General features: G+C 57.0%; 1 protein-coding gene and 1 long non-coding RNA gene across 6 annotated transcripts, besides 22 other annotated features; one reads left to right on the top strand and one right to left on the bottom strand.

Annotated features, from left to right (window-relative positions):
- SDC1 (syndecan 1) lies at window positions 418–25096 on the bottom strand. Of its 5 annotated transcripts, NM_001006946.2 has the most exons (6): window positions 24883–25096; window positions 24423–24707; window positions 4964–5045; window positions 3434–3912; window positions 2708–2843; window positions 418–2556 (listed from the first exon to the last, which is right to left on the bottom strand). In NM_001006946.2, the coding sequence occupies exons 2-6, from the start codon at window positions 24486–24488 to the stop codon at window positions 2387–2389; spliced, it is 933 nt and encodes a 310-aa protein (NP_001006947.2). In that variant the 5' UTR covers window positions 24489–24707; window positions 24883–25096; the 3' UTR covers window positions 418–2386. The 5 variants fall into 5 exon arrangements, with proteins under 5 accessions (NP_001006947.2, NP_002988.4, XP_005262679.1 ...); NM_002997.5 differs by lacking the exon at window positions 24883–25096 and having other exon boundaries at window positions 24423–24751; XM_005262622.3 differs by lacking the exons at window positions 24423–24707; window positions 24883–25096 and adding an exon at window positions 22878–23079.
- Window positions 593–1093: an enhancer, noted in NCBI's record as "H3K4me1 hESC enhancer chr2:20400733-20401233 (GRCh37/hg19 assembly coordinates)". NCBI's record gives its function as "activates a minimal SCP1, AML or CMV promoter by ChIP-STARR-seq in naive H9 embryonic stem cells {active_cell/tissue: H9 hESC(naive)}" and the evidence as "EXISTENCE:reporter gene assay evidence [ECO:0000049][PMID:30033119]".
- Window positions 6579–6778: an enhancer, noted in NCBI's record as "active region_15382". NCBI's record gives its function as "activates an Ori minimal core promoter by ATAC-STARR-seq in GM12878 lymphoblastoid cells {active_cell/tissue: GM12878}" and the evidence as "EXISTENCE:reporter gene assay evidence [ECO:0000049][PMID:35858748]".
- Window positions 6861–7485: an enhancer, noted in NCBI's record as "H3K4me1 hESC enhancer chr2:20407001-20407625 (GRCh37/hg19 assembly coordinates)". NCBI's record gives its function as "activates a minimal SCP1, AML or CMV promoter by ChIP-STARR-seq in primed H9 embryonic stem cells {active_cell/tissue: H9 hESC(primed)}" and the evidence as "EXISTENCE:reporter gene assay evidence [ECO:0000049][PMID:30033119]".
- Window positions 7486–8110: an enhancer, noted in NCBI's record as "H3K27ac-H3K4me1 hESC enhancer chr2:20407626-20408250 (GRCh37/hg19 assembly coordinates)". NCBI's record gives its function as "activates a minimal SCP1, AML or CMV promoter by ChIP-STARR-seq in naive H9 embryonic stem cells {active_cell/tissue: H9 hESC(naive)}" and the evidence as "EXISTENCE:reporter gene assay evidence [ECO:0000049][PMID:30033119]".
- LOC124905978 (uncharacterized) lies at window positions 7907–13448 on the top strand. The gene is made up of 2 exons (XR_007086241.1): window positions 7907–8229; window positions 9020–13448. It is a non-coding gene; the product is annotated as an uncharacterized LOC124905978 (long non-coding RNA).
- Window positions 8111–8735: an enhancer, noted in NCBI's record as "H3K27ac hESC enhancer chr2:20408251-20408875 (GRCh37/hg19 assembly coordinates)". NCBI's record gives its function as "activates a minimal SCP1, AML or CMV promoter by ChIP-STARR-seq in naive H9 embryonic stem cells {active_cell/tissue: H9 hESC(naive)}" and the evidence as "EXISTENCE:reporter gene assay evidence [ECO:0000049][PMID:30033119]".
- Window positions 8736–9361: an enhancer, noted in NCBI's record as "H3K27ac-H3K4me1 hESC enhancer chr2:20408876-20409501 (GRCh37/hg19 assembly coordinates)". NCBI's record gives its function as "activates a minimal SCP1, AML or CMV promoter by ChIP-STARR-seq in primed H9 embryonic stem cells {active_cell/tissue: H9 hESC(primed)}" and the evidence as "EXISTENCE:reporter gene assay evidence [ECO:0000049][PMID:30033119]".
- Window positions 9362–9986: an enhancer, noted in NCBI's record as "H3K4me1 hESC enhancer chr2:20409502-20410126 (GRCh37/hg19 assembly coordinates)". NCBI's record gives its function as "activates a minimal SCP1, AML or CMV promoter by ChIP-STARR-seq in primed H9 embryonic stem cells {active_cell/tissue: H9 hESC(primed)}" and the evidence as "EXISTENCE:reporter gene assay evidence [ECO:0000049][PMID:30033119]".
- Window positions 12238–12417: an enhancer, noted in NCBI's record as "active region_15383". NCBI's record gives its function as "activates an Ori minimal core promoter by ATAC-STARR-seq in GM12878 lymphoblastoid cells {active_cell/tissue: GM12878}" and the evidence as "EXISTENCE:reporter gene assay evidence [ECO:0000049][PMID:35858748]".
- Window positions 12678–12737: an enhancer, noted in NCBI's record as "active region_15384". NCBI's record gives its function as "activates an Ori minimal core promoter by ATAC-STARR-seq in GM12878 lymphoblastoid cells {active_cell/tissue: GM12878}" and the evidence as "EXISTENCE:reporter gene assay evidence [ECO:0000049][PMID:35858748]".
- Window positions 13208–13297: an enhancer, noted in NCBI's record as "active region_15385". NCBI's record gives its function as "activates an Ori minimal core promoter by ATAC-STARR-seq in GM12878 lymphoblastoid cells {active_cell/tissue: GM12878}" and the evidence as "EXISTENCE:reporter gene assay evidence [ECO:0000049][PMID:35858748]".
- Window positions 13769–14063: a silencer, noted in NCBI's record as "tiled region #13704; K562 Repressive DNase matched - State 23:Low". NCBI's record gives its function as "represses a minimal TATA promoter and a strong SV40 promoter by Sharpr-MPRA in K562 cells {active_cell/tissue: K562}" and the evidence as "EXISTENCE:reporter gene assay evidence [ECO:0000049][PMID:27701403]".
- Window positions 14363–14986: an enhancer, noted in NCBI's record as "H3K4me1 hESC enhancer chr2:20414503-20415126 (GRCh37/hg19 assembly coordinates)". NCBI's record gives its function as "activates a minimal SCP1, AML or CMV promoter by ChIP-STARR-seq in naive H9 embryonic stem cells {active_cell/tissue: H9 hESC(naive)}" and the evidence as "EXISTENCE:reporter gene assay evidence [ECO:0000049][PMID:30033119]".
- Window positions 14987–15611: an enhancer, noted in NCBI's record as "H3K4me1 hESC enhancer chr2:20415127-20415751 (GRCh37/hg19 assembly coordinates)". NCBI's record gives its function as "activates a minimal SCP1, AML or CMV promoter by ChIP-STARR-seq in naive H9 embryonic stem cells {active_cell/tissue: H9 hESC(naive)}" and the evidence as "EXISTENCE:reporter gene assay evidence [ECO:0000049][PMID:30033119]".
- Window positions 21945–22452: an enhancer, noted in NCBI's record as "H3K4me1 hESC enhancer chr2:20422085-20422592 (GRCh37/hg19 assembly coordinates)". NCBI's record gives its function as "activates a minimal SCP1, AML or CMV promoter by ChIP-STARR-seq in naive H9 embryonic stem cells {active_cell/tissue: H9 hESC(naive)}" and the evidence as "EXISTENCE:reporter gene assay evidence [ECO:0000049][PMID:30033119]".
- Window positions 22453–22959: an enhancer, noted in NCBI's record as "H3K4me1 hESC enhancer chr2:20422593-20423099 (GRCh37/hg19 assembly coordinates)". NCBI's record gives its function as "activates a minimal SCP1, AML or CMV promoter by ChIP-STARR-seq in naive H9 embryonic stem cells {active_cell/tissue: H9 hESC(naive)}" and the evidence as "EXISTENCE:reporter gene assay evidence [ECO:0000049][PMID:30033119]".
- Window positions 23118–23317: a silencer, noted in NCBI's record as "silent region_11199". NCBI's record gives its function as "represses an Ori minimal core promoter by ATAC-STARR-seq in GM12878 lymphoblastoid cells {active_cell/tissue: GM12878}" and the evidence as "EXISTENCE:reporter gene assay evidence [ECO:0000049][PMID:35858748]".
- Window positions 23728–24187: a silencer, noted in NCBI's record as "silent region_11200". NCBI's record gives its function as "represses an Ori minimal core promoter by ATAC-STARR-seq in GM12878 lymphoblastoid cells {active_cell/tissue: GM12878}" and the evidence as "EXISTENCE:reporter gene assay evidence [ECO:0000049][PMID:35858748]".
- Window positions 24208–24267: a silencer, noted in NCBI's record as "silent region_11201". NCBI's record gives its function as "represses an Ori minimal core promoter by ATAC-STARR-seq in GM12878 lymphoblastoid cells {active_cell/tissue: GM12878}" and the evidence as "EXISTENCE:reporter gene assay evidence [ECO:0000049][PMID:35858748]".
- Window positions 24308–24727: a silencer, noted in NCBI's record as "silent region_11202". NCBI's record gives its function as "represses an Ori minimal core promoter by ATAC-STARR-seq in GM12878 lymphoblastoid cells {active_cell/tissue: GM12878}" and the evidence as "EXISTENCE:reporter gene assay evidence [ECO:0000049][PMID:35858748]".
- Window positions 24719–25398: an enhancer, noted in NCBI's record as "H3K27ac-H3K4me1 hESC enhancer chr2:20424859-20425538 (GRCh37/hg19 assembly coordinates)". NCBI's record gives its function as "activates a minimal SCP1, AML or CMV promoter by ChIP-STARR-seq in naive H9 embryonic stem cells {active_cell/tissue: H9 hESC(naive)}" and the evidence as "EXISTENCE:reporter gene assay evidence [ECO:0000049][PMID:30033119]".
- Window positions 24788–25167: a silencer, noted in NCBI's record as "silent region_11203". NCBI's record gives its function as "represses an Ori minimal core promoter by ATAC-STARR-seq in GM12878 lymphoblastoid cells {active_cell/tissue: GM12878}" and the evidence as "EXISTENCE:reporter gene assay evidence [ECO:0000049][PMID:35858748]".
- Window positions 25399–26078: an enhancer, noted in NCBI's record as "H3K4me1 hESC enhancer chr2:20425539-20426218 (GRCh37/hg19 assembly coordinates)". NCBI's record gives its function as "activates a minimal SCP1, AML or CMV promoter by ChIP-STARR-seq in primed H9 embryonic stem cells {active_cell/tissue: H9 hESC(primed)}" and the evidence as "EXISTENCE:reporter gene assay evidence [ECO:0000049][PMID:30033119]".

A 27765-nucleotide genomic window follows, 5' to 3' on the forward strand; every position in this document is an offset into this window, starting at 1 on the left:
TTTTTCCCTACTAGGCACATGGTTTTTTTAGACCTCTGGCACTTAAAGACTGTTGCTAGTGAGTGTACAGAAATCACAGTGAGCAAAGAATAAATAGCAAGCTTTGAGAATCAGTAGGGAGCCCATCATGTCCTTGAGGAAGGGAATGATCCAGTGGAGCCTTAAGGAACAAGGAGTGCTGGGCAGGAGGGCCAAGAGCCCCGGGAGGAGGAAGGCGAGATGCTGAATGCCTGCACAGGGGTTTGGGGGAGGAGGGCAGAGATGGACTCTGTCTTCCACGACAGGAGGGACCAGCATGAATTCTGCTGTTCTGTACCAAGCCAGAGCATTGCCCAGAACCAGGCTCCCACCCCTAGAAGGTGACACGGCTGGACATCGCCAGGCCAAGAAGAGACTCAACCACCACCACAGCAGCTGTTGCCCGAAATGACAAGTACCGTTTATTGTCGTTACACAAATGAACCCAGCCTCTGGCTTGGGCACCGTCCCACGGACCAGCAGATGAGCATGGTCAGCCGACCCCTTTCCCCACCCCCGAGTCATGTGCAGTCATACACTCCAGGCAGAAAGTCGCAGTATCGAATACCGGACACAGGTTCCCTTGGCTTGGTGGTGCATCTCTGATCCACAGACTGGCCCACCTCTCGGAGTGGCCAACGGAGTCGCTGAAACGTTGTCAAATAAGCAAGTAAGTGCAGGAGCCCTGGGCTGGGGGCCTCTGGCCTCTGCAGCCGGGTGGGAGGAGGATGTCCAAGGTGTCTGCGGGGTAGGCCTCGGCTCCACACCTCCGCTGTGACCACAGCCTCAGGTCAAGCTGTGCTGGGGCCATCCACCTTCCTTTGCCATTTAGAAGATGGGGCTTGGAGCTTGGCAACACAGAAATTGACATCAGCCTTATAAAACCTTGGCTGAACCTACCGACCTCCAGGAGAATTTCAGCCAAAACAAAAAAGCAAATACACAGAGGGACCCTGGAACCAGAATCCCTCCCCATGGGAAAGACGAAGGCACAGAGATTCGAGCCAAGTTTCCCAACATGTTGGTGTTTGCAGAAAAGTCCGGTCACGTCACACACAGCACAGAGGCAAGAAGCGAAGGCAGTGGCATTCACAGGACTACTTTATATTAAAGTTTATTACATTTGGAAAATCTACTGTACAGGGAAAAACCCATTGGATTAAGTAGAGTTTTGCCAAAAGCAAAAGACTATCACTCTTTGGAAAATATTCCTGATTCCAGCCCAGGGCCCAGGGTGGGGCCACAGGAGCTAACGGAGAACCTGGCCTTGGATGGAGGCGCTCAGAGCCAGCTCTGCCCAAGACACCCCTCGTCAATTTCCAGGAGGAAGCAGCCCCTGGAGACGGCGCCACAGGCAGGACGGGCGTGGTCTGCAGGAGGATCTCCAGGCCCCTGCCGCCCTCCCTACAGTCCTCTCTGTCTGAAGGCTGAGTCCCAGCATTCACTTCTCACACGGGCTTCTCCAACGTGGCAGCGGCCCAGGCCTCAGCATGGCCCTGAGCGCATGGACACAGGCACGACTGCTTGAAAGAGGCGGCGGCCCCACGGCAGCCTGGACTGGCCAGCCTGCCAACAGACCACCAGAAACGGGGCCACCAGACAGATAGTCCATACCCTGTTGCACACATGAGCGACAAACTCAAGAGACAACACACAAACTAAGCCTACATTTTGGCTTCCAGATTTGGTTCTCCTAGTTTAAAAAAAAAAAAAAAAAGTCTTCTTAACCCTGATGCTGTCTCCCGACCATAGATTAGGGAAGCAAGATGGGGGGATACCGAATCAACTTACTTAACTTACCTCAGAAGTAACAAGGTCTACTGGGCTATGAACAAAGAACTAGAGGAAACATGTGCAAAAACAAGTCGATATCTAGATTAGACCTCCCCACGAAACAAAGTGGACTCCTGTCCCCTGCCACTCAGCGGCCACCCCCCCAAGATGCTTGGTCCTACCAGTAAGTGCTACAGGTGTGTGAGCCCCAAGCCCCACCCGCAGGATCTTCCAGCCACATGAGGCCATTTAGGTCCAAAGCAGTCGGATCCCCCTCCCCTCCAGAGCTGGACCTGGGGAGAGGCTGCTTCAGTTTGGAGAAACCGAGTCAGAATGGTGCGATGCCAGGTGCTGGCTGTGGTGGAAAGGTCCTATGCGAGAAACCCCTGGTGCCCTAAGTCTCCAGGCAGAAGTCAGAGAAGCAGAGTGGAGCTCCCAGCACACCCCACGACTCCGTGGGCAGGAGCGACCAGAGGGGCTGGAATGCTGGGGAGGTGGCCTGGTGGCAGGGGAGGCCAGGGCCTGCAGTTCTTCAAGGAAGAGGCAAGTGGGGGCCTAGTGAGTGGCAGGGCGGAGGGGGCGCATGGCTCCCGCGTCAGGCATAGAATTCCTCCTGTTTGGTGGGCTTCTGGTAGGCCCCGCCGTTGGCTTGTTTCGGCTCCTCCAAGGAGTAGCTGCCTTCGTCCTTCTTCTTCATGCGGTACAGCATGAAACCCACCAGGCACACAGCAAAGATGAGCCCCACGAGGCCTCCGGCAATGACCCCTAGGGCAGGTAGACGGGGCCAGCTCAGCTCAGCGGCTCCTTGGGCTCTGCTGCAGACCCTCCCCAAAGCAGTGGCCTTGGCTGTGGTCAGCCCCACCCTGACCCCACAGCAGCAATTCACCCCAAACTACCCCCCTGAAAGAAAACTCACCTCCCAGCACCTCTTTCCTGTCCAGGAGGCCCTGTGAGGCCCCCGTGGCCCCCTGATCCACTGGGGACTGGTTCCGGCGGTCAGGCTCCACGGCCACTACAGCCGTATTCTCCCCCGAGGTTTCAAAGGTGAAGTCCTGTGGGAGGGCAGGGGCAGATTGGGTTGGCCAGGTCACCGCCAGCAGCAGCAACCAGCTCCACTACAAGACCCAGAAGCAGCTCCTGCCTCCCTGATCTTTGCCACCACCCACTCAGATGCACCCAAACCAGGATCGCACAGGGCCCGAAAGCCAGGCCTTCTTGCCACATCAACTCCGGACCCTGGCTGGACCATGGCATGGATATCACAAAAAGTGATACAAAGCACACATTTTTGTATGGAAATAAGCAGACTTATTTTAGTGTAAAGCGTAAAATTCCCACGAAGCTATAAAATAAAAAATTGGACTTGGTATAACGTTCACTCTTGCAGCAGGGGCTGCAAGTTTGGATTGTGAGTTTGGGGAGCCCTCTCTTGGGTGATCTTTAAGGGTGCTTCTGCTCTGATCTCATAGTTAGTCTGTCCTGCTCTGGGCGAGGCCCTGGGGGTAGGGGAAGGCGGGCCCCTGTGCCCTGTCTTCCTGGTGAGGAATACGAGATGCCCGCAGGGCACAGGTGTAGGGCCTGCCAAGTGCCAGGCATTAGGACCAACCCACTCAATTTCCCAAGGAATGCAGAGGCCACTCACCTGCTCCCCAGAGCCCTCTGCTGCTGGGAGCTGACTGGAGGCTCCATCCTCAGCAGCCCTCTCGGTGGCAGAAGGACCTCCATCCTCTGTGTGGGGAGTGTGAAGGTCAGCTTGGCTGGGTCCTGCAGGGGTTGAGGTCTCATGGTGGCCAGGCTGCATGTCCCTGTGGGGGTGGGAGGTGGCGGGCTCCTGGGCCGTGGTGGCTGTGGTCGTTGAGGCCAGATGAGTGGTCGGGAGCTGTGTGGTCTCCCTGGGTCGGGGGGTGGCCTCCTGCTCCCGGGCGGTGAGGCCAGGCTCCACTTCTGGCAGGACTACAGCCTCTCCCTCCTTGGGCCCCTCTCCAGCCGGCAGGGTGGAGGTGGAGGCAGCTGTAGCCTCCAGGCCGGTGGGTTCTGGAGACGTGGGAATAGCCGTCAGGAGCTGCGTGTCCTTCCAAGTGGAGGGGGTCTGCTGTGACAAGGTGATATCTTGCAAAGCACCTGCAGGACCAGAAGCAGAGTGTGTTGGGGAGGTGGGGGGTGGGGAGGACCAGAAGCAGAGTGTGTTGGGTGGGTCGGGGGAGGCTCCAGAGCACCTGGGCTGGCCAAGCTCAGGCTATGAGGGAGGCTAGTACCTGGACAAGGCAGCTGAGGCTAAGCTCCTTGGAAAATGGACAAGGAGAGCTGTCCCTTCCCATTGTGTGTGTCCAGGTGCAGCCTGGTCTCTGGAGCCACGAGACAGGTGCCTAGGCCACCTGGGAAAGCTTTTCTGTGACCACAGGGGTGGGGTGGGCATCCCTTAGGGGCATAACTACTGTGGTTATCCTACTTATCCCAGGGCACACACTTCTCTGGCCCCACCCTCCCTGAAAAAAAGGCCCCCACTTCCAACAACAGACACTTCCAACAACAGATATCCTACCTTGCAGCTCTCAGGCCTCCGCTAGGTCACTTCCCCAGGGATGACCTCAGCCTCCTTCCTTAGCTCTCTCACCCCTCTTCTGAGGTCCACTCAAGAGCCACCTCCTCTGTGAAGCTTCCCTGACCACCTCCAGCTCAGGGACTTCTCTCCCCCAGTCCCCCACAGGGAAAGGGGAAGTAAGGAAGGGAGCTTGGATGGAAGAGCTACACCCCAGCTGGCTCTGTGCTGCCTTACAGCTCCACAAGCTTATCAGGTCAAGGTATTATTCCCATTTTGCAGATGAGAAAACAGAGGCTCAGGAGTCAAATAACCTTCTGAAGGGGGTTCCAGAGGTTTCTTAGTGAGTAAAGCTATTCCTAGTGAATATGAGCCTGCGTGCAGCAGGCGGCCCTGGGGCCTTCTGGAGCTCACAGCCTTCACCTCACCTCCGAGCATGAGCTCTCCTTAACCAGGCAGCTCACGGACCCCATTCCTCTCCTCAGCATTGCCCTTTGGAGCCAGCTGGGTGGAGACAGGGCAGGCAGGGTGCACTCAGTACATGCTCAGTAAACACAGGAGACTGCCTGACCACTGCCCACAGGCATGACCTGTTGCCGTCTTGGGTGGGGGGGGCCCCCATGACAACCTCACCTGCACCTGAGCCGGAGAAGTTGTCAGAGTCATCCCCAGAGCCATCTTGATCTTCAGGGGGCAAATTAGTAGCCACAATTTGCTGGAAAAGGATCAGAATATGGTATGAGTAAAGGCTTGGCCGGGTCTCTGCTGCTCCTGGGTCCTCTCCTAGACAGCTGAGTGGACTCACCCTACCCTGTGCTGCACAGGTACACAGGGAGAAGCCTTCTCATGTGGCTCCAGGACCCTCAGCTCTGGGCAGCACTTTGGTCCCCAGGCCCCATCCCCTGATGCTACAACACAGCCTGGTACTGGGTGCAGGGCTGCAGGGGCACAACAGAGTAGGCAGGGCCCTCACCCTGAGAAGCTCAGTCTGGTGAGGGAGCTCCAGACCTCTCAGAAGGGCAGACAGGGAGCTGTTATTGGGAACAGAGGCTGTGGTCCCCATGGGACCCCATCAGCCCACCCTACACTGTGAACCAGCTCTTGGGGGCCATCAGCCAGGGAGCTTTGGGGCCAAAGATTGCCGACCCAGCCCCACTGAGAGGCTTTCAAAAACCCCCAAGAACAATCTCAGGACAACCTGGGTGCAGAGGCAGCCTCCAGGCATGCTGGCCCCCAGGTGTGGATACCGAGGACGGCACAAGGGGCAGGGGCAGGGCTGGGCACAAGGAACTGTCTGTTCTGAGGCAGGTCTGCCCACACAGGGCAACCCCAGGCCTGGCCCTGATACACCTTCCCACACTTGGCCCAGTTCCTGTCTATAGTAAAGACTGGGTGCAGGCCCTTTGGTCAGAGTATCATCCTCCTTGGGGAAGGAAGGACAGGGTGTCCATCAGGCTGGGGACATATAAGGCTAATCTGGAAGGGGCCCTGCACTGACAAGCCTCCAAGAAGTGGGCTGTGGGCCTGGGACGGGCCCTGCTGGCAAACAGCAGTCCCAGGAATGCTGCCCGCCTGCCCAGCTCCAAGAGGCAAAGGGGCCAGAGGGCAAACATATACACATCTCTCCAGTTCCTGAGGCCGGGGCTGACTGGCAGGACCGGGGGCGGGGGCGGGGAGGCAGGATCACGCCACACACAGTGAGCAGGCCTGTGCAGAACCCTGGTCGGCAGGGAGGGCAGAAAGTCAGGACTGCCTCTGCCCTTCACACTGGCCCCAAGACCTCAGGTAAGGAAGAGAGAACCCAGCAGCCAGGTGGCGAGAAGTGTGGCTTTGAGAGCCCTATTCACCTGCGAGACTTAGACCCAAGGACCCCACTCACTACACAGTCTATCTTGAGAGGGCCCCAATGTCTGGGACCAGAACAAAGAATGAAAAAATATGCAGAACAGCACAGTCCAGAGCACTAGCTTTAGGAACTCCGGATCCTGCCACTCACTAGATGCGTGGTCCTGGGATGTCATTAAACTGCTTATGGCTTCTGTCTCTCCATCTGTAAAATGGGGAAATAATAACATCTACATTCCAGGACTGCTGCCAAAATTCAATGAAGCTATGCCTAACACAGCCTGGCACCCAGTGGGCACCCACAAACAGTGGCCACTGTCTAACTAGGGGAGCCTCAAATGCCAGCAGGCCTGTCTAGAAAGAGGGTGAAAGGGAGGTAGATAAAGTTTCATGAGAAGACGGGGGCAGGAAGAAGTCTGTTCACCAGAAGCCTCTGCACTGACTTGTCAGAGGGGGCCCACCTGAGGCTGGGCTCCAAAGGAAAAGGGCCTCCTCAGCCCAAGAGGCCTTGCCAGGCCCTGGCCACAGGCCCACGGGTCTCACTTCTGGGTAGTGCAAAGCAGAGAGGGACAGACAAGACCTCCTGCCTCCTGAGGCAGCCCTGGGGCAGAGCCAGACCAGGTGGAGGCTCCACGTCCAGGGGCCTAGGTCAGAGGGAAGCGTCAGACACGTGTAGAAACCACAAGGTCAGAAATAACACTGAACTTCCTTTGAAAGGACAAAAGCTAAACTGTATCTTCCTTCCCCCAAGAGAAAGGTTTTGACCCTAGAAGGGCAATTCATAGCCCATCTACAGTAACAAGTCACATTCCGCCAAGGCTCACCTGCAATGAACAGTCACAGTCCACCATGGCCCATCTACAATAAACAGTCATTGACTTGACTGGTGCAGTGGCTCACGCCTGTAATCCCAGCACTTTGGGAGGATCACTTGAGCTCAGGAGTTCCAGACCAGCCTGGCCAACATGGTGAAACCCCCATCTCTACTAAAAATACAAAAATTAGCCAGGCATGGTGGTGCGGGCCTATAGTCCCAGCTACTTGGGAGGCTGAGGCAGGAGAATCCCCTGAATCCGGGAGGCAAGAGGTTGCAGTGAGCTGAGATTGTGCCACTGCACTCCAGCCTGCGTGACACAGCAAGACTCCGTCTCAATCAATCAATCAATAAAAACAAACAGTCATGGTCCATGCTCCCCCCGCCTCCACACAAGGCCACATCCGATCTACAACATCTCCATGTGGTGCTTCAAACACCTGTGCTGCCTTCCCAGAGCTCTGAAGCTGCCCTGGCCTCCCTCAACCTGTCTCCTTCATCATCAAAGAATACTGCCCACCGGGGGATCACAGAGTGGGCACCCCCACCCATACTCACTGGGATCATGGCTTCACTCTCATCCAAGGACTCTGCCCTGCCCTCTCCTGCTGCACCGCCTCCCCCAAGAGAAAGCTCAAGATGGGGCAGGGATGGGGCAAGGCACTGGCACTTCGACCCCACGAGCCTCTGCTGCATTGTAGAGTGCCGAATCTTTCAGCAGAAGCTAGAACCATTGGATCCATGCTCCATTCAACAATGAGGCAACCGAAGCCCACAGGGAAGACACACACACTGGGGCCCATGTACAACCTGGGAGACACCGCCCAGTGAGACCCAGGAACGCCAGGGAGGCCCCAACACGTTAGCAGTTTCCCAAGAGCAGGGCTTTCCTCCTGACTAGATAAGCATTTCAGTCTGCCCTGTCCCTAAAAACAATTTGTTCCCTCAGTTCGGCTGGCTTATCCCTCTGCAATCTTGTTTACACAACAAGCTCTTAAGCAAATGTTTTCTCCACTGAAACCAGCTCCCTGGCCTCCGGGGGCCTCTCCCCTCCCTGGGCCTTCAGTCTCCACTAAGGGGACAGGCTAGAGAGACCTCCCAAATCTTCTCCAGCTTGAATCTTCTGGGACAGCCCCTCAGATGAGAAGGTGAGATTTCAGCCCCCTGAGGAGGAAATTAGCAGAAACTGCTGAGTTTGAACTTGGATTACCAAGGTGCCAGCTGACTCCCGGAGTTTCTGGTGAGACTTTCGATTTCCTTTAGCAGGCCTGCTGTGCTGACAGCCGGCAGCAAACTCCCTCTAGGCCTCCTGGGTAGCTCTCCCCAGCATCATCTCCAACCTGGGTGCTTCCGAGGCTGCCTGGCCACGGCTCAAGGCTGCTCAGGAACAGGTGGCCTCAGCTTGGAGACTACCTAATGCCCTGCCCAGGAAGGCAACAGGCTAACCAGCCTTTAACCTCTGTAAGTCCCAGGAAAACCAACTGTTCATAGAACGAATCAACAACTTTGTGCTAGGTAAGATCTAGGCTTCCACTCATTCTGTTGTTCAAAGCAAGGGATGCCTTGCCCCTTCCCCACCCACAGCGCAGACCCTAGAAGCTCACTGATTAGAAAGCCCAAGGTTTGGCTCGCCTAGGGGCTGGGGGATCAAGAGGCAACTGCCTGGAGTCTGGGGACAGGGAGTAAGGGAGTAAGGGTCAGGTCAGCCCATCTCCATCTCAGCCATGCTGGTCTCCTGGCCATACCCTGGGGACCCTGGAGAGAATCCTGGGGTCAGGGCTCTGACCCAGCAAGAAAGAGAGTGTGAAGGAGTGCGGCCTTCTCTAAGGCTGGAAACACTTTCCACCCATTCCTCTTTCTTCCCTACAACTCCCCTGCAGATGAGGCAGCGGGGCTGAGATCACTGTCTCTAGCAGATAAGGACTAGAGACTCTGAAAGGTGAGGGACTTGCCCAAGGCCGCCCAGACACTACAACTCCCCGTGCAGCAGCACTGCTCTCCTCACCTGCCATCCCCTTCTCTCTCCCCAGCCCTACCAGTTGACCCAATCAGTTTTAAGGAAAACCTGTCTAAGGCTCCTCAGTGGGATGGAGTTTCACTGAGCTGGAGTCGCTGAGCCTGCCCCAGTGGTGACGCTACCCAGGGACCAGCCCACATTTGAGAGGTGGAGAGGAAATGGCGTAGACCAGAACGGGACCTGTGCCACCAGGGATGGGGAGTCATCATCACCGGCTGCCAGCCATTACAAAGAGCACATCTGAAGTCTGTGGGCAGAGAGCTGGCAGAGAAGCTTCCAGAAGGCAGCCTCAAGCCAACTGCCAGCTTTCGCTCCCGTAACAGAGGTAAAGAGGGCCACTCTCCTTGGCAACCTCCGTCTCAGCAGAGCCCCTTGTCCTGGCCAGCCCTGGGGCTAAGGGGCAGCTGCGCTGCAGCTCCTCTGCAAGACAGCTCAGAAGTGCCTTGGCTGCCTCAGAAGCCAGGATGTCCAGTGGGCATCTCAGACAGGTTCGACGGGGGGCAGCGGGCCCAGTCGCTAACCCGAGAGGTTGCCCATCTACCCCCCGCCATCAGCCTGAGGCCACCAGGTCAGAAGGCCTTTGGTTTCCAGCCCGCACCCTGAATCACTGACATTGGTCACCTGCTGCTTGAAGTGAGTGATGGGTAAAACACAAACCCCTTAAAAAGCATTACTACTAGGCGCGGTGGCTCCCGCCTGTGATCCCAGCACTTCGGGAGGCCGAGGTAGGCGGATCACCTGAGGTCAGGAATTCCAAACCAGCCTGGCCAACATGGTGAAACCCCGTCTCTACTAAAAATACAAAATTAGCTGGGCGTGGCGGTGTGCACCTGTACTCCCAGCTACTTGGGAGGCTGAGGCAGGAGAATCACTTGAACCCAGGAGGTGGAGGTTGCAGTGAGCCAAGATCACGCCAGGAGCTTTTGGAGAAAAGAGGGAAGAAACAGTCTGGTCCTGGCCCGGCAGAGCTCCCAGCTCCTCAGAACATATGGCCAGGTGTCCGGCTCCAGGGGGATTTAAAAAGGGGGAGCTTCAGAGGCTGAAGTACAGAGGGCTTCCCTAAGGGGACTACTAAGGCCAGGCCTTGAAGCCCCCAAACCAACTCAGGAGAGGATAAGACAACGCTCACCCCAGGCACTAACTTGGGCAGCGCAGGGGGCCTCTGATTCGCAGTCATTCGTGGTGGAGCAGGAAAGGGAAGCTGATCTGTCAGCTGTACCTGCCCCGTGTGGCCACGAAATCCCCGGCTTCTGTGGGAGCCCAGTCACTGAATCAACAAACCCCAACAAACCAGGGATAAAGAGCTGCCCCTTATCAAAGGAGCTAGGTCACCACCTTTGACAAGCAACCTGGACCAGGGGCCATGGCACTGGCTCTGGGGCCAGTGGACAGGAGAGACCCAGACCTGTTCCAGAAGCCCAGGCTGCGAGGTCATGAGGCAGGAGGGCCCATGGTCATGGCAGGCTGGACACCCACCCTCCCCATCCCGAGATTCCACACAATGGCAAATGTCCTCAGGAGGCTTGAAACAGGGTCACAGTTGTTTAGAAATCTTCTTTACCCCCTTGGTTTCTCAGTCAGATCTACACATACAAGGAAAACAGGCTGACTCTCCCCTCCCCTAGACTTCAGGACTCTTGGGGGCTGATATCTCTGAGCTGCAGAGCCCCAGCCTTTACCCCCACCTCTGCATCAAGACACCATACTGGCTGAGGGTGATAACCAAACCATCACCTGCATCCAGACTGGGGGCTCTCAGCTTCAGGGTCCCCAAGAATCACCAGGAGACCACTACAAATGAAGTCTTTCGAGTTCCCCGCCCAGAGGCTGACTCTGTCATTCACAAGCCCCAGGTCCTGTAGGGGGTCTTCAGACTGCACTTTGAAAACAATGAGGGGAGGAAAAGGCATCCCCCAGAGTGGCCCAGCCTGGAGGAGGCAAGAGCTCGTTTCACTTGAGTCCAGTGTTCAAAGTCAAGGCACTGAGTAGCAACAGAGCCCTGTGAACAAGCTCTAGTGGCCAAAGGACCAGGGAAAGCTCAGCAATGTCCTCTACATTTCCGACACGTCCACTCGCATAGATAGCACACCACGGTGGCAGCCCAGCCTCCCTCCCCCAGGAGCTGAAGGCCCACTGAACATCCAGAAGCACCTACATGACTGGGAAGTGTCTACCTGAAGCTGGGCTGAGGCTCCTTCGTGCCTGGGGCTGAGCCCACTGGCTTCCCACCAGCCGGCCCGGCTGGACCCAGCAGGGCTGAGCAGAAGACAGCTGCTGGAGCTGACAGGCAGGTGGGCTCCGGGGACGAAGGCTGGGCCTGGAAGGCAGCACAGGCTGCAGGGCCTGGTCCTGCTTTTCCAGGGGTACCAGTGGGAGGGCACGGGAGAAAAAGCTGCAACACCCTCTCCCAGTCCCACTGCCTTCCGAACGCCTCAGTGCCCTGCAGTGTGGATCTGTGGCTGCCTTCCCTCTGTGGGGAGCCCTGTGACCCTTTCCTTCAGCCTGGACTGAAAACGGCCTAAGCACTGAGCAGGCAGGTCATATCCGAGCACCCAGGAGCAAGGGTCTCTGGGAAAGGGCTGGAATCCGCCATGCGGCTCCCGTGCTGGGGACCTGGGCAGCTTTCAGCCTCTCTCTAGACCTGTTCTCCACCTAGACGCCAGAAGGGGCTTGGTGGATAACGCTAAAGTGCTTTACGGCTGACAGGCTGGCCCCGCGGCTTTAGCACCTGGTGCTGCTCTGGGAACTAGACAGGGGTTCTGTCCCCCAAGACTCTCCAAATGCCCCCTCCTCAGGGACCCACAGCACTGATCACCAGAGGGTGGCCCAGGGAAAATGACCAGGTCCAACATGGGGATAGTCTGGTGACAGTCTGGCCTCTGTCCCTAAATTACGGGGTGGTGCCAGAAACACCTTGCCTCAGGTTGTCCATCTGTACAACGGAGGTTTGGCCAAAATGGTGGGACTCGTGGGAGTAGGCAGCAGGGCAGGGCCACAGGCCAGGAGACACTGGGCTCCCCCAGCCTCGGGGTTGTGGAGGAAGTGCTAGACACATCACTCCTCTCCTAAGGCTGGTTTCCGAACTCAGGAGCCGGGAAAACACAGCCCGCCAGGGAGGCAGGCTGAGGCTGCAGATGGGGTCTGGGCCTCCAGACCCGAAATCCCCCACTGAAGCCATTCCCAGGAGGAGGGGCCTCACTGGGGCCTCAAGGCAGCATCAGCATTTCCGGTGACAGGCACAGCAATTTATCAGCTCACTGGCTCTCTACTGAGAACAAGGCAAGCCGGGGCCTGCCGAGGGTATGACAGGCAGGGAGTGATGGGCCCGGCCCAGGGCAGGAGGGAGACAGAAATGGGCAGGAAGAGGAGGCTGTCCCCAGCAGCACTTCTGAGAGGAGGAGCACCTTTCGGGGACACTCTGGACGGCACCCCCAAGCACAGCCCCACCCTGCCACTTGGAGACGGACCCCTCACTGTCCTGGGGGCTTCCAGGGCAGGGCCAGGGTGGAGGGACGGCATTCACATTTGGCCTTCAAGACTACTTTCGGGTAATATTTTCCATTTAGTGTGAGGTCAGGGCTTTACAGATGGGAAGCCTGAGGTCAAGGTCGCAGAGCCGAGCCTCCCAGCCCTGGGCTTTTTGCCCTGCACCGCACTGCCTGCTCACAGTACACCGGGGGCGTTTATTGAAGGAGGAGGGATCCTGGCAGCCTCATGCCAGCTCCGATGCCCAAGCCAAGCCAGTGCTGCCCCCAGCACCCCCATACCTACCCTTCCACAGAGCTGGCGCCTGCCTCAGCAGCCCACATGCCAGGACTGGTCTCAGAACAGGCTCAGCTGAGGGCTGGGCGTGGAGCCGTGGAGCTGGAAGACCAGTTCCTCTGCTTTCCCCCCCTGGCAAAACCCGGGCCAGGCCAGGCAGGGCAAGGTTTCATCCAGGCAGGCGATGAGCAAAGCAACCCAACCCAGGCCCTGCAGCCTCAGTGCCTAGTTCTGCTCCGAGAGCCAAACAAGGGATCTGTCTCCCAAGACTCGCCAAACACCCCCCACTTAGGGACCCACAAGGACACTCGATCACACTGACTTGGTATCATCACCCTCAGCTTCCCAAGGGGAGTCATGGCTTAGGCAGGATGCCAGAGATATCCTAAATCAAGGTGACCGTGGGGCAACTGGCACCCTATGGGGACAGAGGGGGCAGCCAAGCCTCCAAAGCACTGTCCCTCCCCCAGCCCTGTCTGCCCTAAAGAGCCCACCAAGGTCAGAATCTCAGCCAAGATTTCCCCAGTCGGCCCTTACTGAGAAGCCCAGCCCTGTCAGTCCCCACCAGGTCCCCTGGAATGGGTAGCCACCGGACCTGGGGACCGGGGCACCTCTGCCAGATGGACTTCTAGGGACATCCTCCCCCTTGTACTTGCTAAATAAAGTGTCCTCAAGTTTCACAGAGGCAGAAACTGCACTTTTGACACACCTGCAGCCGGCCAGGGCTCCAGCTGTGTGTGAAGGTGGGGGAGGGGAACAAGCTCCAACTTTATTACCAAAATCTCTCCTATCAGTGTCCCTGTCATTGCACAATATCCCTTTGAAAACAAGTCCTCTGGGAAGGCTAAAGGGTACCAGCACTCACACTACAGCATAAATCACTTCCAGGTGGGGAGGGGCTAACTCTGGAACTAGGCCACTGCGGGTAGGTGGGAGCTCTGGGAGAGGGAACAGGATTACAACAGAGAGGCTGGAAGATGTCAAGGGCAAAGTTTTTAACCTTTGTCAAAATGTGGATGCCAACAATGCCATACCCAGGAAAGGAGGAAGAAATTCTCTTTGCTCTTCCTGGAGTCACAGATGTACACGGTTTCTCCTCCCACGTACAGAACAATGGGCTAGCCTGGGAACCTGCCTCTCAGATAAAGAACAATTCAGATTGAGTAAGCACTGAGGCTGCTGAGAAGCCCAGAGACACGGGAAGGCAGAGTGTCCCTGAAGGAGTCCCAGGGGAGGGTGGGGCTGGTCCCTTCTGGTTTGGGGGATGGGAGACAGAATTTTCTGTGACGGCTCTCTCTGAAGAGGGAGAAGCCACCTGGGAAGCCAGGTGGATCCTCCAGATTACTGGCAGGGCCCCAGGTCAAGTGGCTTGCCCTCCCTCTGATGGGCTGGCAGATCTGCACAGCCTCCAACCCCCAGCACAGAGCTCCTAGCCCTCTCAGCCTCTGCACACGGTGGGTGTTGAGATGGCTGAAAGGGAGACTGTGGACACAGCTCCAGTCTGAAAAGCTCAGCATGACCCTAGGAAAGGGAAGTAGCCACATGCCTTGCCCAGAGCTCAGGGACTACCAGGGGAGTTGGTGGGCAGGGGGTGTGGTGGAAGAAGAGTCTAAGCCTCTGATCTGGACTGGAGATTACTTGAAGAATAGAAACAACTGAATTAGGCTCTAGGGAGAAAAAGTGATCATAGCTAATGTTTATTGAGTCCTCTGGGCCAGAGGAGCTGGCAATCAGTTTTTTCCAAGCACTTTCTCTGAATTAATTAGTTTGATCTTCACAGTCACCTTAGGTTCTAGTACCATGCACATTTTACAGATGAGAAAATTGAGGCAAAGGAGCTATGTCATCTGTCCCAAGGCACACAGCCACTGAAGCCAGCAGTCTTGCTCTGGCAGTCATGCCATGAACCACCCATCACAGTGAAGCCCACAGGGCTCTCTCACTCTCAGGAAGACAACAGCCATCATTTCCACTGGTGGCACCCTGCAGTCTGGCCCAGCTTTGTCGGCATCCATAGAAAACCCAGCTCCTTCTCCAGGACAGCCATCAGTCTGAAGTTCTGGGGACAGGCCACCGTGCCCCATTGCTAGGGGTCCTGCCCAGCAGGCCTGAGCCCCTGCCAGGGTGCCCCAATGTCTGGCTTTGCCTGGCCTCCTCTCCCATCTGCCAGCCCAGCCCATACCTTCTCAGGTCAGGAGGCAACCCAGCCCGTACCTTCTCAGGTCAGGAGGCAGCCCCTGGCAGAGGCTCGGGTGGAAGAGAGCAAAGTCTAGCCTGCTAGTGAAGGCTCATGTTTCTGAGAAGGGCAAAAGCCATGTTTGCAGGCCCTGTTAACGTCAGCAGCACTGGGGTCAGACCAGCAGGCCATTCACACAGAGTGACTCCACGCTCAGGCTGGGTCAGACTGCACCCCTTCCCACAGGTCAGCCTCAGTGCTCCCCTAGACTTGCTTCTCTGTGCTCTAGGCAAGGAAGGGGCCCCAATCATATCACATATGGTATTTCATGGAACCTCTGCAAAAGCCCTCTGGGGCAGGATATGAGAAACTCCATTTTACAGATGAGGAAACTGAGGCTGGGGTAGGTGAAGAATCGTGCTCACGATGACACAGGGAGGAAGCAATGAAGTCCGGATGTGATCCAGGTGGGCTAGACTCCGTGTCCTGTGCTCCTCCTGGCCTCCACAACACCTCTCCACTCCAGCCCGAGCCGGGACTAACCACGCCAGCTAGTTCTCGGTCCCACCTCAGCTGTGAAGCCCCAAGGTCTCAGGACTCAATAAAGGCAGGAAGGCCCAGGCCTTCAGGCTCAGGTGACTGCCTTACACAGGGAAGACAGGTGGGCCAGAGTGCCCACTGCATGCCCAGCCTCCAGACAAGATCTCTAAGAATGAACCTCATTCACGGGAGGTGGGGAGGGAGGCAGGGGGCTCTATGCCCTTTCTACAATTCCCTGAGCCCAAGACAACCAGTCACTGCTGCAGATTCACCCGAGGAGACTCAGGGGTGAGCTTCCTGGACTTTCCAGGCCTGACCCCAGGGAAACTCCTCCTGTGCTCTTCCCCCAGGCCCCAAGTCCCTTTCAGGGAGGAAGGTGGGGGGCAGGGCCTGAAGATCTCATGCAGCCCAAGCACGGCCCACAATCCCAGCCTGGCCCTCAGCCCCGCAGGCCCTGGCCAGCCTTGAGGTCTTGCCGCCCGGACCCTCCCCGATACCCCATCCTGGAAGAGATATGGTCACCATCACAGCAGCACTGCACCCTGCGGTTTTCTCTGGGAGAAGCTGGAATGACACCAGCCTCTAGGAAGGTCTCAGAGGCTCCTGAAACGCCCCACAACCTCGGGCCCTGCAAGCCCAAACCTGACCATCATATTCGCCTGGAACACTACAGATAAGATGGGCCTTCCAAGGCCTCGGACAGTTTCCTGGGCAGCAGGGATGACAGGAAGCTACTGGAGGTAGAGTCAATGCCACTCTGACACAATCAAGTCCCCAACCAGGTAAGGTCCCTGGAGCATCAGCGGCCACCACTGGTATTGGTAGCATGGGAACAGCAGGGCCAGGGCCCAAGTTCTAAAGGGCTTTCTGGGACCCAGTTCATGACAAATGCCATAGTTGGCCACGAGCTCCTCGGCCCTCCAGAAGTTCCTCCAACCTCCCCACATCCCACCCTGGCAGACGTGCAATCCTCACCGTACGCATCCCAGGCCAGGCGCCAGAGTTCTGTCTCTCAGCCTGCTGAGTAGCACAGAAGATCCACAGAGAGAGCCAGGCAGCCCCACGTGGAAATGACTATGAACTCAAGCTCACGCCACCGTGGGGAAGAGTTCCCTGAACACCTTTGGAGATCCATGGTGCACACGAGTGGTCCTAGAGCAGGACTGGCAGCCTTTGCAGCTCCCTCAGGGAGACCCCCTGCCCTGACACTTCCCATGGCCAGAAGGCAGCCCCACAGGTTTGGAGCTCCATAAAATGTCCTGCCTTACAGCCCAGGCTCCTAGTTCGATACTGCTGTATCGTGGGACTCTGGGACAAAACCCTTCCTGTGGGGAGACGTGACAGGTGCTGAATCGCGAATCCCGTTCATTGTCACTGCAGAGACCACCTCTCTCGTCTGGTTCCAGTAACAGCCACCCTCTCTTACAGGAATCCCCTGGACCAGATATGGAACTCTCACCACTGCACAGGGCTACGCACACAGCAGGTACCCAGGATCTGGGCTTTAGATCTGGTCAAGCCAGATAGGTCTCATGAAGCCCTCAGAACTTGAGGCAGCAGAGCACAGGCAGGCCCCCAGATACCCACCAGTCACACGACACAGCCACAAGAGGCCATGCACACCCAAAAGCATTGCCTCACCTCTGCCTCTCAGCCCCTTCCCCCTATGTCACAGATGGGTTCACTGAGACCAAGAGAGGCCTCTGTACACAGTCACTCGAGAGAGAGGAGGCAGGGCCAAGACAGAAAGCCAGGCCCCTGAGCCCCGGCTGTGTCTTGCTGCACTCTCTGCCTCGTGCCGGCCCCCAGAGGGCTTGCAGTGGATCAAGGTTGGTTGGGTGAGTCTCAGGGGAGGACCCGTGGCCCTGGCACCATGACTCAGCTGATGAGTGGACTGATCAACATGCCCGCCTTCCCCACTGCCCCAACCTGCCCGCCACAGCCTTCATTCCTGCTGCTGAGCGGACCTCGGGCAGGTGCCAGGACTCTTGGGTGTGTGTGCGGAGAACATCATACAGCCCCAGCCCTGGCCCAACGTCACCCAGGCACCTCTGTCCACTCCAGCTCCCACAAGGAGCTCGAATCCACCCCTCAAGCAGCCTGCCCTGCCCTCCACTGGCCTTGCCCATCCCACCGATGACCCCTTGGGCAACCAACTCTCCTTCGAGTCCCAAGAAAGAATACTGGCAGAGAAATGTGAGCCCCCAACAAGTCCTTCAGTGCCACCTCTGCCCTTCCCAGGATAAGGTCTCTCTGTAACCATGTGGCTCTCAGAACTGAGGACAGGAAGAACGACCCTTTGGCAGAGGAGGAAACTGAGGCCCAGAGAGGCAATGGCCTGCCACAGCCAAACAGTCGGGGCTCAGCTGAACCAGGAAGGCCAGGTGACCTGACTGCCCGTCTCTGTAGGAATAACTCCCACAGATTTCCAAGGCCAAGGCCATGATGGATGTCAGAGCCACAGTGAAAAAGAGAAAAGGCCACCAGCAGAGGTGGGAGGCAGAAAGGAAGCTGGTGTCTGAAAAGGAAGCTGCAGCCAGGTAGTGACCAGGCCCCCCAAAACTGAGACTGCAGCCTGACAGGGGAAGGCAAGTCAGGAGTGCCCAGGCAAGGCCCAAATGCAGTGGCAACCTGTGCAGTAAGCACCCCCCCACCACACACACAGACACACACACACACAGACACACACACACAGAGACACACATATACACGGACACAGACACACACAGATACAAATATACACGGACGCAGACACACACAGACACATAAACACACAGACACACACACACACAGAGACACACGTACACACGGACACACACACGGACGCACACAAACACAAAGAGACAGACACATAGAGGGACACACACACGTACATGGACAAAGACACACAGATGCATGGACACACACACAGACACATGGAGACACACAGATATACACACAGACATACACACGCAGACACACACACACACAGACACACACACACACAGCATCTCATGGTGCTGCAACCCTCAGGTGAATCACTAGGCAGAGAGTTTTTCCCAGGGCTGACGGCCAGAGGAGGCCCATCCTCTACACAAAATTAGGCAGCCACGAAGCCATAAAAGCCAGGAGGTCAGAGACCCTTGAGGGGCTCCCAGTGGGGAGAGGAACCAGTGGCAGCCTCGGGAAGCCCCGAGCGCAGCAGGAGAGGTCGCTGGGCAAGTGACTGAGTGCAGGAGCAGGTCCAGCCGCCGCCTGTTCTGCTCTCCTGACTCAATGGCCCCAAGACCCAAGATTTCCCACGGCACACCCCCCTTGCCCCATAAGCTTGCCCCCACCCTTACAGGCCCTGCCAAAAAGCAGGACACTTGCCAGGGGAGGCTCAGGCCACCCCTCCCCGAGATCCCCACAGTACTGACCACAGGCAAGCTGACCCGGTGCACCTGTCTCAGGAATGCCAGGGACCTTCTCACACTGTCTCTCCACCTAAATGAAAGCTTCCTGAGGGCGGGCAAAAGCAGTAACATCACAGGTAAAGCTCACTCTTCCAGGGGAAGCGATGGCGTGGGCCCCATGACCACCTGCAGCTGGATAAGACAGTTGCTGAAGTAGCCCCAAGCCCAGGGTCTTGCCTCTGCGGCCTCACCTCTACAACCTGCACCCCAAACATACCTCCTTGTGGTGAGGGGCATACACACATCAGCCTTCCCCTGGAGCCTGTCAGGGCACGCATGTCCCATTCAGTGGAAGGTTCCAGAATACATGCTCCCATCCAAAACCCAACCTCTGCTGGAACAGCTGAGAGAGAAGTGACAGGGTACAGGATCCCAGCACCAAAGCCCTCTTTCCACAAACTCCCTGAATCTCTCAGGGCCTCAGGGGCCCTTTCAACCCAAGATTCCAAAACTGGTTGGTGAAAAGAAGGCAATCGGGCAACAGTTGAAGCCCGGCAATCGCCTAATGACCAGTTCCTCATGGGCTGTCCCCACCCCCAGCAGGACCTGGTGTTGGAGGGGACCAGGAGGTGACTGTGGCACCAGAGCCAGGAGTCCTGGGTTCTGGCCACCACCCGCGCCATGCTGCCCGCCTCCCAGGCTTACAAAAGAATCTGCTAATTCCAAGAATGTTTCCCCAGCGCCCAAGGTAAAAGATGGTGCAAGCTGGGCACCACCTGGGGTCTGGCCTGAGGGCGCCATCCAAACAGGCCCCTCCACACCCAGTCCACATGGTTCCCACCCTGCTCTCTCAGGTCCCAATTTACTTCCTGTGAGGAGCTCTCGCCTGTCCCTGAGGGGCCATCAGTTGAACCCAACCCAGTGTTGTTTGCCTGATGGCACTGTTCAGGCCAGCTCAGCCTGGCCCAGCCCCCTCAGCCCAAAACGCTCATATCCATGGTCTTCAGGACGGACCAGCAAATGCCCAGTAGAGCCTTGCAGGGTTCAGCCAGCCCCCAAATGCCAGGCTTCTCAGGGGAGACTTGACAGTCTTGCGATGTATTCACACCATACCCATACACATGCGCACACACACACACACTGCACACACACACACAAATCCTGTCTCAGCCAATGGAGGGGCCCGCCACCCTAGGCCTCAGCTTCCTCATCCACAAAGTGGGGCAATGATATATATTGTAAAGGTTTTGGGTAAAGTTCAAATAAGAATGAAAGAAAAGTACTGAGCACTCAACAGTAGGCACTCAAAAAAAGGTAACCTTAATTATATCGACAGCTAACTTTCCTCAGGCGGTTTCATCACAAAGTACTTTCACATATCCATTATGAAATGAATACGCAAATGACAGAATGAGGACAGGGAGAACAGGTATCATGATGTCCGCTTTACAGATGAGGACAACAAGACTTGGAAGGAAAGTGACTCACCCCAGATTATGGAGTAAATTAGTGGCAGAGTTGAGACTCAGTCCTGGGGCTCTACTTAATCCAAAGCCATTTCTGGCCTGTCACACAGTATGGATGCACATTATATAGAAACAGGAACTAAAATCCAAATCAAACATGTGGTGAAGAGTTGGGGGCATGACCGAAGCTGAGAGTAACAGTCAAGGCTAAAGAATAATGGCCCTCAGCTGGTCAGTCCAGCTACCTGTGACCAGCAAGTCACTTACAAGTCAAACCAGGTCGAGGAACTTGGAACATGGGGGTCAGCAAGCACTTCCCCCAAGAGATGACTCATTTTTCTCCACTGAGAGAGGCCCCTAAAGGCCTCACCTTGGCAGCACCTCTTTGTTACTCTAGGTGGGGTGCAGGGAGGTAGAGGGGAGACTGCAACAGGTCCCAGCTGAAGTTCATGAAGGGTACAAAATCCACATATCACAGATCATCAGTCTCACTCACAGGCAAGGCCCTTACCCAGAGCCTAAAACTCTCAGCTTGGAAATAAGCCTAACTCATCTGATTAGTTTCTTAGTGCCACTGGAGAAAAGTAACAAATTAGAACTGATCAGAAAAGCTGCTGGCTACACTCAGGCACATAAATGTCACTTCTGGCTGCTCTCTGGAAAAAGGAGAAAGACCAGAATTCAAAACAGAGCAACCTGGGGCACCAGGCAGAGGGGCAAAGTGCTCTTCAGAGCACAGTAAATCCAGGAGACAATGTCCTAACCCAGCACAATGATGAGGAGGACGACCCTGGCAGGCAGAGATTAAATCATGCCTAGCATTTTTTGGTTGATAAAGGAAGGGAAATAAATACTTCAGAGAGTCATGCCCAGAGTAAGAATACTCGAGGGTAATAGGGATTCTTAGCTTGATGAAAAAATATGAATACACAGGACACCTCATTCCCAAGGGATTTCAGGAATCCAAAATTCTGCTGCAACAGAAAAGATTCCTCTAAAAAACTGCAGAAGTCAAGCTTTTCATTAATTCTTTCCAGGCTCTCTCCTTTCTTACTGTCTCCCTACCAATGTGTGTTAATGAGGTTTTACTGGAACCCATCATGAGCCACAGGTAGAGACTTAAACCGCTCCACCCTCCCTGTAGAGCTGAAGCCAGGGATGACATCACTTCTAGAAGGCTCTGAGCCTGAGCGGAGGCAGCTAGTGCCTCCCCCCATACCCTCTCTGCCAGGCTGTGGGAAAATGTCTCTACTAGCCCCCATAATTAGGGCAAAAGGGATTTTATGCCTTTCAAGAAAGAGAAGAGAGAAAGAATGAAAAATAGCAAATAACTATTCCAGAACAAGCCATTTTTCTTACATGGCAGAAACAAAAGACCACAGTAAACACACACACACACACACACACAGAGAGAAAGAGAGAGAGAAACCTTTTTAGACAAACCTGTTTTAGTCTCTTGGGAGTGGTTTTGAGCAACCTCCTCTCCTAGCAGCCTCCCCTCACCCATTCAGTCACTCCTTGCTTCCCTGGTCCCCAGGGGGTTTCTGACCTGCTTCCCACTGGGGCCAGAGTGAACTTTCAGAGAGGGTCAGATCTCTGCCACTTGCAAATACCTTCTCCCATCTTAAAGCAAATCCCAGCTGCCTGATTTCTTTTAGGAAAGGGGTATCAGAGCTTTGGGAAGGCAGTGCATGCCCCCACCTTTAACCTAACATGGACATTCACTGTAAGAGGAAGAGGGCAGAACTGGGAAAGAGAAAACAAACTAATCTTTGTAAGATCAGAAAAAGCAAAAAGAACACCTAAGCTTCAAGCCAGAGTCTGACCCCAAAGCTCAGGTGGGGCTTTCAGGCTCAGCTCAAGCACCTCCTCCAGGAAGCCTTCCCTCCCTGCAGCTCCAGGGAGTCTCCCTCCTTTCCCCTTTTGAGACTCTCCTGCCTCCTGGGCCCTATGTCCAAGTTTCTGGGCAAGAAATAATGCCTCACACTGCAGCATCTGCCCCAGCCCACAGAAAACTCCAGGAAAGGCAGTTCACGGGGAAGCCCAAACTCCACCTGCCTCCCCAGCATTAACGGGTGCGGTGGGATCCCAGGGCTCTGGAATGTCTGCTTTACCCCAGGCAGGCAAGGGAACCAGCAGCCCTCCTAAATCCAGCCGGAAATAGGTGGAGGACCCAACTTCAGCCGCCCCTGCTGAGGCCCCATCATGTGCGAGAATGGGGCAGTGAGGTGATGCCCAGCGGTCCAGGGAGGTAAGGCACCCAGCTCCATTCTCTTCTCCAAACTCGGAGCGAAGACTCCAAGCACAGTCTCAGTTCCACAGAAACCACCACCCTAGAGAGCAGCTTCTTGGACCTGAAAGCCAGGAGTGCATGAGACCCAGCTCGGAAATCATGGCCCTCCCCGTGCTCCCAGATACCCCTCACAGTCCAGCCCATTCACAGTTCAATAGGCACAGGGACCTCTCCTGGACCGGAAAATGTCTGGAAGCACGAGTCACCTGGGAAGCAGGGAGGGCGCTTTACACATCGGTCTCAGAAACGACTGTCCCTACCTCATCTCCCATGAGACAGACTCTGTAAAGAAAAAAAAAACCAAAGCGCTCAATAACTGGCAGCTACTACACGAGGCAACGCTTACGGAGGGTCAGCGCTGCTGAGACTTGTCCAGATGCCACATTAGCAGTGGAGAACCCGAGTGCCCACCCCGCCCCCGCCCCTTCCCTGCCCACGTGCCTCCCTTTGCCAGAGCTGGGGAAGTCGAACTGTCCAGATGTAGTGGCGAGACACCGCCACTTCCGGAAGGGGAAGCGCCCCTGGCTCCGCACCTCCCCTCTGCATCCCTGGGGATGGCCGAGCCGGCCCGCAGGAGGGACCCCGGGACGCCAGCACCGGGCGCGGGGGCTGGGGAGGCGAACTCGGGCGGCAGACTCGGGCACCGGGCGGCCCGCGCTGACACCTGGCTGCGGCCCAGGTCCCAGCCCCCGTCAAGGCCGGCGTTACGGGGCTGTTCCCAGGAAAGGGTTACAGGGGCCGAGAACAAAGCGCCCCCATTGGGGAAGGCGGGCTAGCGGCCGGTGGCCGGGGCGGGAGAGCCACTTTCTGGGGACCCTCAGGCTGCTCTTTGTCGGCCACGTCCCTCTTTAGTGGAGCGTCAGCCCCGCTGAAGGTGGATGCTGCATCCCACCCAAAGGCCTCTTACAGCCCCGAGCTCCACATCTGCCCCTCTTTTCTCCCAGCTGCACTGGGCGGGCCAAGGGACCCGCCTTCCCTCCGCGCGGCTTCAGCACAAAGCCGAGCCGGGGAGCGGGAGGCCATTCCCGGGTCCCCTCGCGTGGAAGGCGCCTGCGCCTCGGCCGTGCCCGGCACGGGAACGCGCCCTCCGGGGCCAGCTCAACTTCAGCAGCCCAGAAGTTGGGCTCCTCCGGGTCTCCAGCGTTCCGAGGCCAACTTCCCGGAACCTCCCGCTGCCGGGCCGGCTCAGCTCACCTCGAGCCGCCCACGGCAAGCCCGAGGGCCCTGCAGACGCTCGCCCGCGCCCCCCACGCAGCCCTGGCCCGGCTCCCCGGGCCAACGCGGCCGCCTCCCGCTCCCGCGCCGGCCGCGCTGCGCCCAAACTTGCCCTGGCGCAAGGGGCGGGGCGCCCGGGCTCGGCGGCGCTGGGGCGCAAGCCCGCGGGTCTGGTTTGAATTAGGGTCTGCAGGGGGGGCGTTGTGGCCGCGGTCACTGCATCCCCCCGGGTCACCGACGGGGGCCCGGCCGCCGCGGTGGCCGGGGCGAGGAGGGTGGGAACGGGCGACCCCGGGCGCCGCTGTGGGCTGGCGGGCTCCGACAGATGTGGAGACGTTTTACATAATTGAGCGCGGGGCCCCGGCCCCCCACCCTCCCCAGCGCGGGACCGGTGCGGCACCCACCGACAGCGGAGGAAATTGGGGCTGGAGCCCTGGTCTCGGGGCTCACCGTCCCGGGACCCGCTGGGCTAGCGCGGGAAGAAGGGAAGTCTTCGCTCCCCCTCCCCCTCCACGTGCACCCGCCGGCATCCGCGGGTGACCAGTCCCGGCTTCCCGCCGCCTCCCCGCCTGGCCGCCGGCCGCACTCACCGGCAGGGCCGGCTGCAGGCTCAGCGCCAGCGCGCACAGCCAGAGCCAGAGCGCCGCGCGCCTCATGCTGCCCGGACCGGCGGCGGGAGAGCGGCAGGCTGCGCGGGTCGCGGCTGCGGGCCGGCTTCGCGGGTTCCGCTGCTCGATGCTCTCTTGGGCGCCTGCCCAGCGCGCCGCTGTCCCAGGCGAGGGCTGCAGGGTCCGCCGGCTGGAGTCCGCTCTCTACTGCCGGATTCCTCTCCGCTCGGCTCGGATTCGGCCCGCACCTCTCCCGCCGAGCTCCGCCTTATAATAAACCCACAGGCCCTTCCTTAGCCGTTGCAAAAACTGGCCCCCCACCCCCAGCTCCGCCAGGTCTCCCGGCCAGCCCCAGTCCACACCCCCCAGGACCCCGCCCCCCAGCCACCCCTCCCGGCCCCTTCGGAACGCCCCACCCCCGGCCCGCTCCTAAGGTTCTTGCCTGCTTGGCTCCCGCTCCTCCGGTGGCCGAACGTCGCTTTCGGGAGCTGTGGTCCCCGCAAGCCGCGGTTCCCGGCCTTTCAGCTCGGCTGCTCCCTGGGTGGTGGGGCCGAGGCGCACCCCCTTCTGCCCGGGCCCGGAGTGCGGAGGCGCAGCCCGGGAGAGGGGCTGAAGGGGGGCAGGCAGTCCTCGGGCGCGAGTGTGCAGCGCCCTCTGGGCGTGGACGCGGAGCGCGCTCCAGGTGCGCAGGACTCCTAGCTCTCTTGGGGAACGCTTTCTGGGGCAGGGCGGGGACCCGGGGGCGATGGGGCCTTCAACCGACGGGCAAACACACACAGACACACCCCGGCTGTCCTCCAGCTGCGATGCGGCTCGCTGCGCCCCGCCGGCCCAGATTCTCCCGTACGCTCGCGTTCTTCCTGCACTCCACAAAGTGCTGGAGACTTGGGGCCTTAGTTTAAACAGCTGCACCCGCACGGAAGGGCTGCAAGAAAAAGGGGGACGGGGGCGGAGTTCGCAGCGTTTTTCTGTGGAAGACAACGCCCTCTCTCTTCATCTGAGCTAAAAGGAAAAATAAGTAACTTCTTTGTTCCCCGGTGACCTCGGGCACGCGGATCTGAGGAGCACCGTGCAGTTGCTGCTCCTTCGAGATCCCCTGCGAGGCCCTGGGCCTCAGTTCAAAAAGCTGTGGAAGGCCTGCGGGTGTAGGGGAAACGGCCGAGAGAGCAAAGGGGAAGAACCGGACGGGCCCTGCCCACATCTGGCAGGCAGGAGAGATGGTGCCAAACGACCTTCGCACCTGGGCCCTGAGACCAAAGATGGCGTCGTCCTCCCCTGTCTTCCCTAGGCGGAAGGCAAGAACTTGGGTCGGCCTGAGCTGGGGACCAAGAAAATATCGGGAAGTGTCCAGTGTTCCTCTTTAAAAGAATTAAACCTTCCTGGGCCACGCAGGGACTGACCGTGGGACCCTGGACTCTCCTCCACCTTCCACCGTGGAGCAGGCTCTGGAGCCGAGCAGCCTCCTGCGTCCCCATCTCATCCCCCCACTCCTCCTCACAGCACTAAAAGATGATGGCCTGCTTGTACCCCTGCTCCTGAGCACCTGTTTGACCTCAAAGAGCTCTCGCTTTTGGGGTGTCCGTCTCCCCAAGTCTGTCTAGGGGGCAGGAAGACCTTCATCAGGGTTCTTGGGGGCCGATGTGGGCTCGCTGAGTGCCTGAGTGATGGATGGTCTCACAGCACGGCACCACGGAGGTCCAGCCGAGCTCGAGGAGTCCCTGTGGATTAAAAATGCCCTTTTCGAAGGTTCTACCTCTACCAGAGGGTGGCTCCACAGATCCCTTCAACCCAGTATGGTGGAAAAATAGGAATTTTGGAATCTTACCTTTCTCTACTGCTCACAACAGAGGAAACTGGGGTCAGGGAGGATTTGATGGAGTCTTTTCATTTTTTAAAAGTCACTCACGGCCAAGCGCGATGGCTCACGCCTGTAACCCCAGCACTTTGGGAGGCCGAGGCGGGCAGATCACCTGAGGTCAGGAGTTCTCGACCAGCCTGGCTAACACGGTGAATCCCCATCTCTACTAAAAATACAAAAATTAGCCGGATATGGTGGCAGGTGCCTATAATCCCAGCTACTCGGGAGGCTGAGGCAGGGAGAATCGCCTCGACCTCTCGGGTTCAAACAATTCTCCCGCCTCAGCCTCCTAAATAGCTGGGATTACAGTCGCACGCCACCACAGGCCGGCTAATTTTTTATTTATTTATTTATTTTGTATTTTTAGTAGAGACAAGGTTTCACCATATTGGTCAGGCTGGTCTTGAACTCCCAACCTCAGGTGATACACCCGTCTCGGCCTCCCAAAGCGCTGGGATTACAGGCGTGAGCCACCGTGCCTGGCCCTTATACTTGTCTTCTTGAGTGCATGTGTGAGGCTTTCTCTAGAAGTAGAGCTCTGGATTATAGGTATAAACATCTTCAACTTTCTCAGGAATTGTTGTAAGCAATTGCTCTAAGCAAATTGCTCTCCAAAGGGCTTATAGTAATTTACACTCCCAACAGCAGTTATGAGCATTTCCATTTTTCTACATCCTCCTATGACTTGGTGTTGGGCCTTTTATATTTTGCCAGCTGATGCAAGTAAAATTATATCTTATTGCTGTTTGAGTCTGACCATCCTTCCCATTAGGAAATGTTTTGCTGAAGCCTTTAGTTGCCGACTGGTTGGGCAGACACTTCTGTTTACTTATCACATCTGTTTTCCTCTTTCTCAGTAAGAGATTCCTTAAATTTCAATTGGGCTTATGGCTATTTAAAATAAAGATTACCTTTCCCTGCCTCTCTTACAGCCACGCGTAGCCACATGATTAGGGTCTTGCCAGTGGCACATGAGCAGAAGTGGTACATGCACTTTCAGAAAGGTGTCAAGCATGCTCTCCTTCCCTTTTCTGTTTTCTCCTGGGCGGAATACAGATCTGATGGCTGCCTCTGAAGCAGCCTTCTTGGACCATGAAGTGAACATGGGAACAGAGGCCATCCACAGCAGAGGAACAAGTTAAAGGAAGCATGGGTCCCTGCCCCATGGAGTATAGCGTCATCCCTGGACTGCCCACGCAGACTTATACATGATGGGAAAATGTCTCTTTTTGTTTGTTTAGGACACTGTTTCTCTGAATTTTCTCTCACTTGCCAGCAATTCTAATCCTAAAAATACACTGATGAATTCATTCTTCTGTATAAGACTAAGTGAATCATCTCAGAAGAGTATGGGGAGGACAACTGGAAAAAGGAAGAAGAGGTGCCTCAGGAGGACGGTGAGAGGAATGGCTTTGAAGATGCTGCTACAAAGAGCCTCTAGGAGGCAGCCCAGCCAGTTTCCCAGCC

This window comes from Homo sapiens, chromosome 2 (assembly GCF_000001405.40).
Source record: "Homo sapiens chromosome 2, GRCh38.p14 Primary Assembly".
NCBI classification, from domain to species: Eukaryota; Metazoa; Chordata; class Mammalia; order Primates; family Hominidae; genus Homo; species Homo sapiens.

Excerpts from the sequence above, each read along its gene's own strand:
- SDC1 (XM_005262620.5), bottom strand. The coding sequence starts at position 7,685 with ATGCAGCAGAGGCTCGTGGGGTCGAAGTGCCAGTGCCTTGCCCCATCC. Across the intron at positions 3,913-4,963 it reads CTTCTCCGGCTCAGGTGCAG|GTGCTTTGCAAGATATCACC; the intron begins GTGAGGTTGTCA and ends CTGGTCCTGCAG. Across the intron at positions 2,557-2,707 it reads CAGGAAAGAGGTGCTGGGAG|GGGTCATTGCCGGAGGCCTC; the intron begins GTGAGTTTTCTT and ends TACCTGCCCTAG.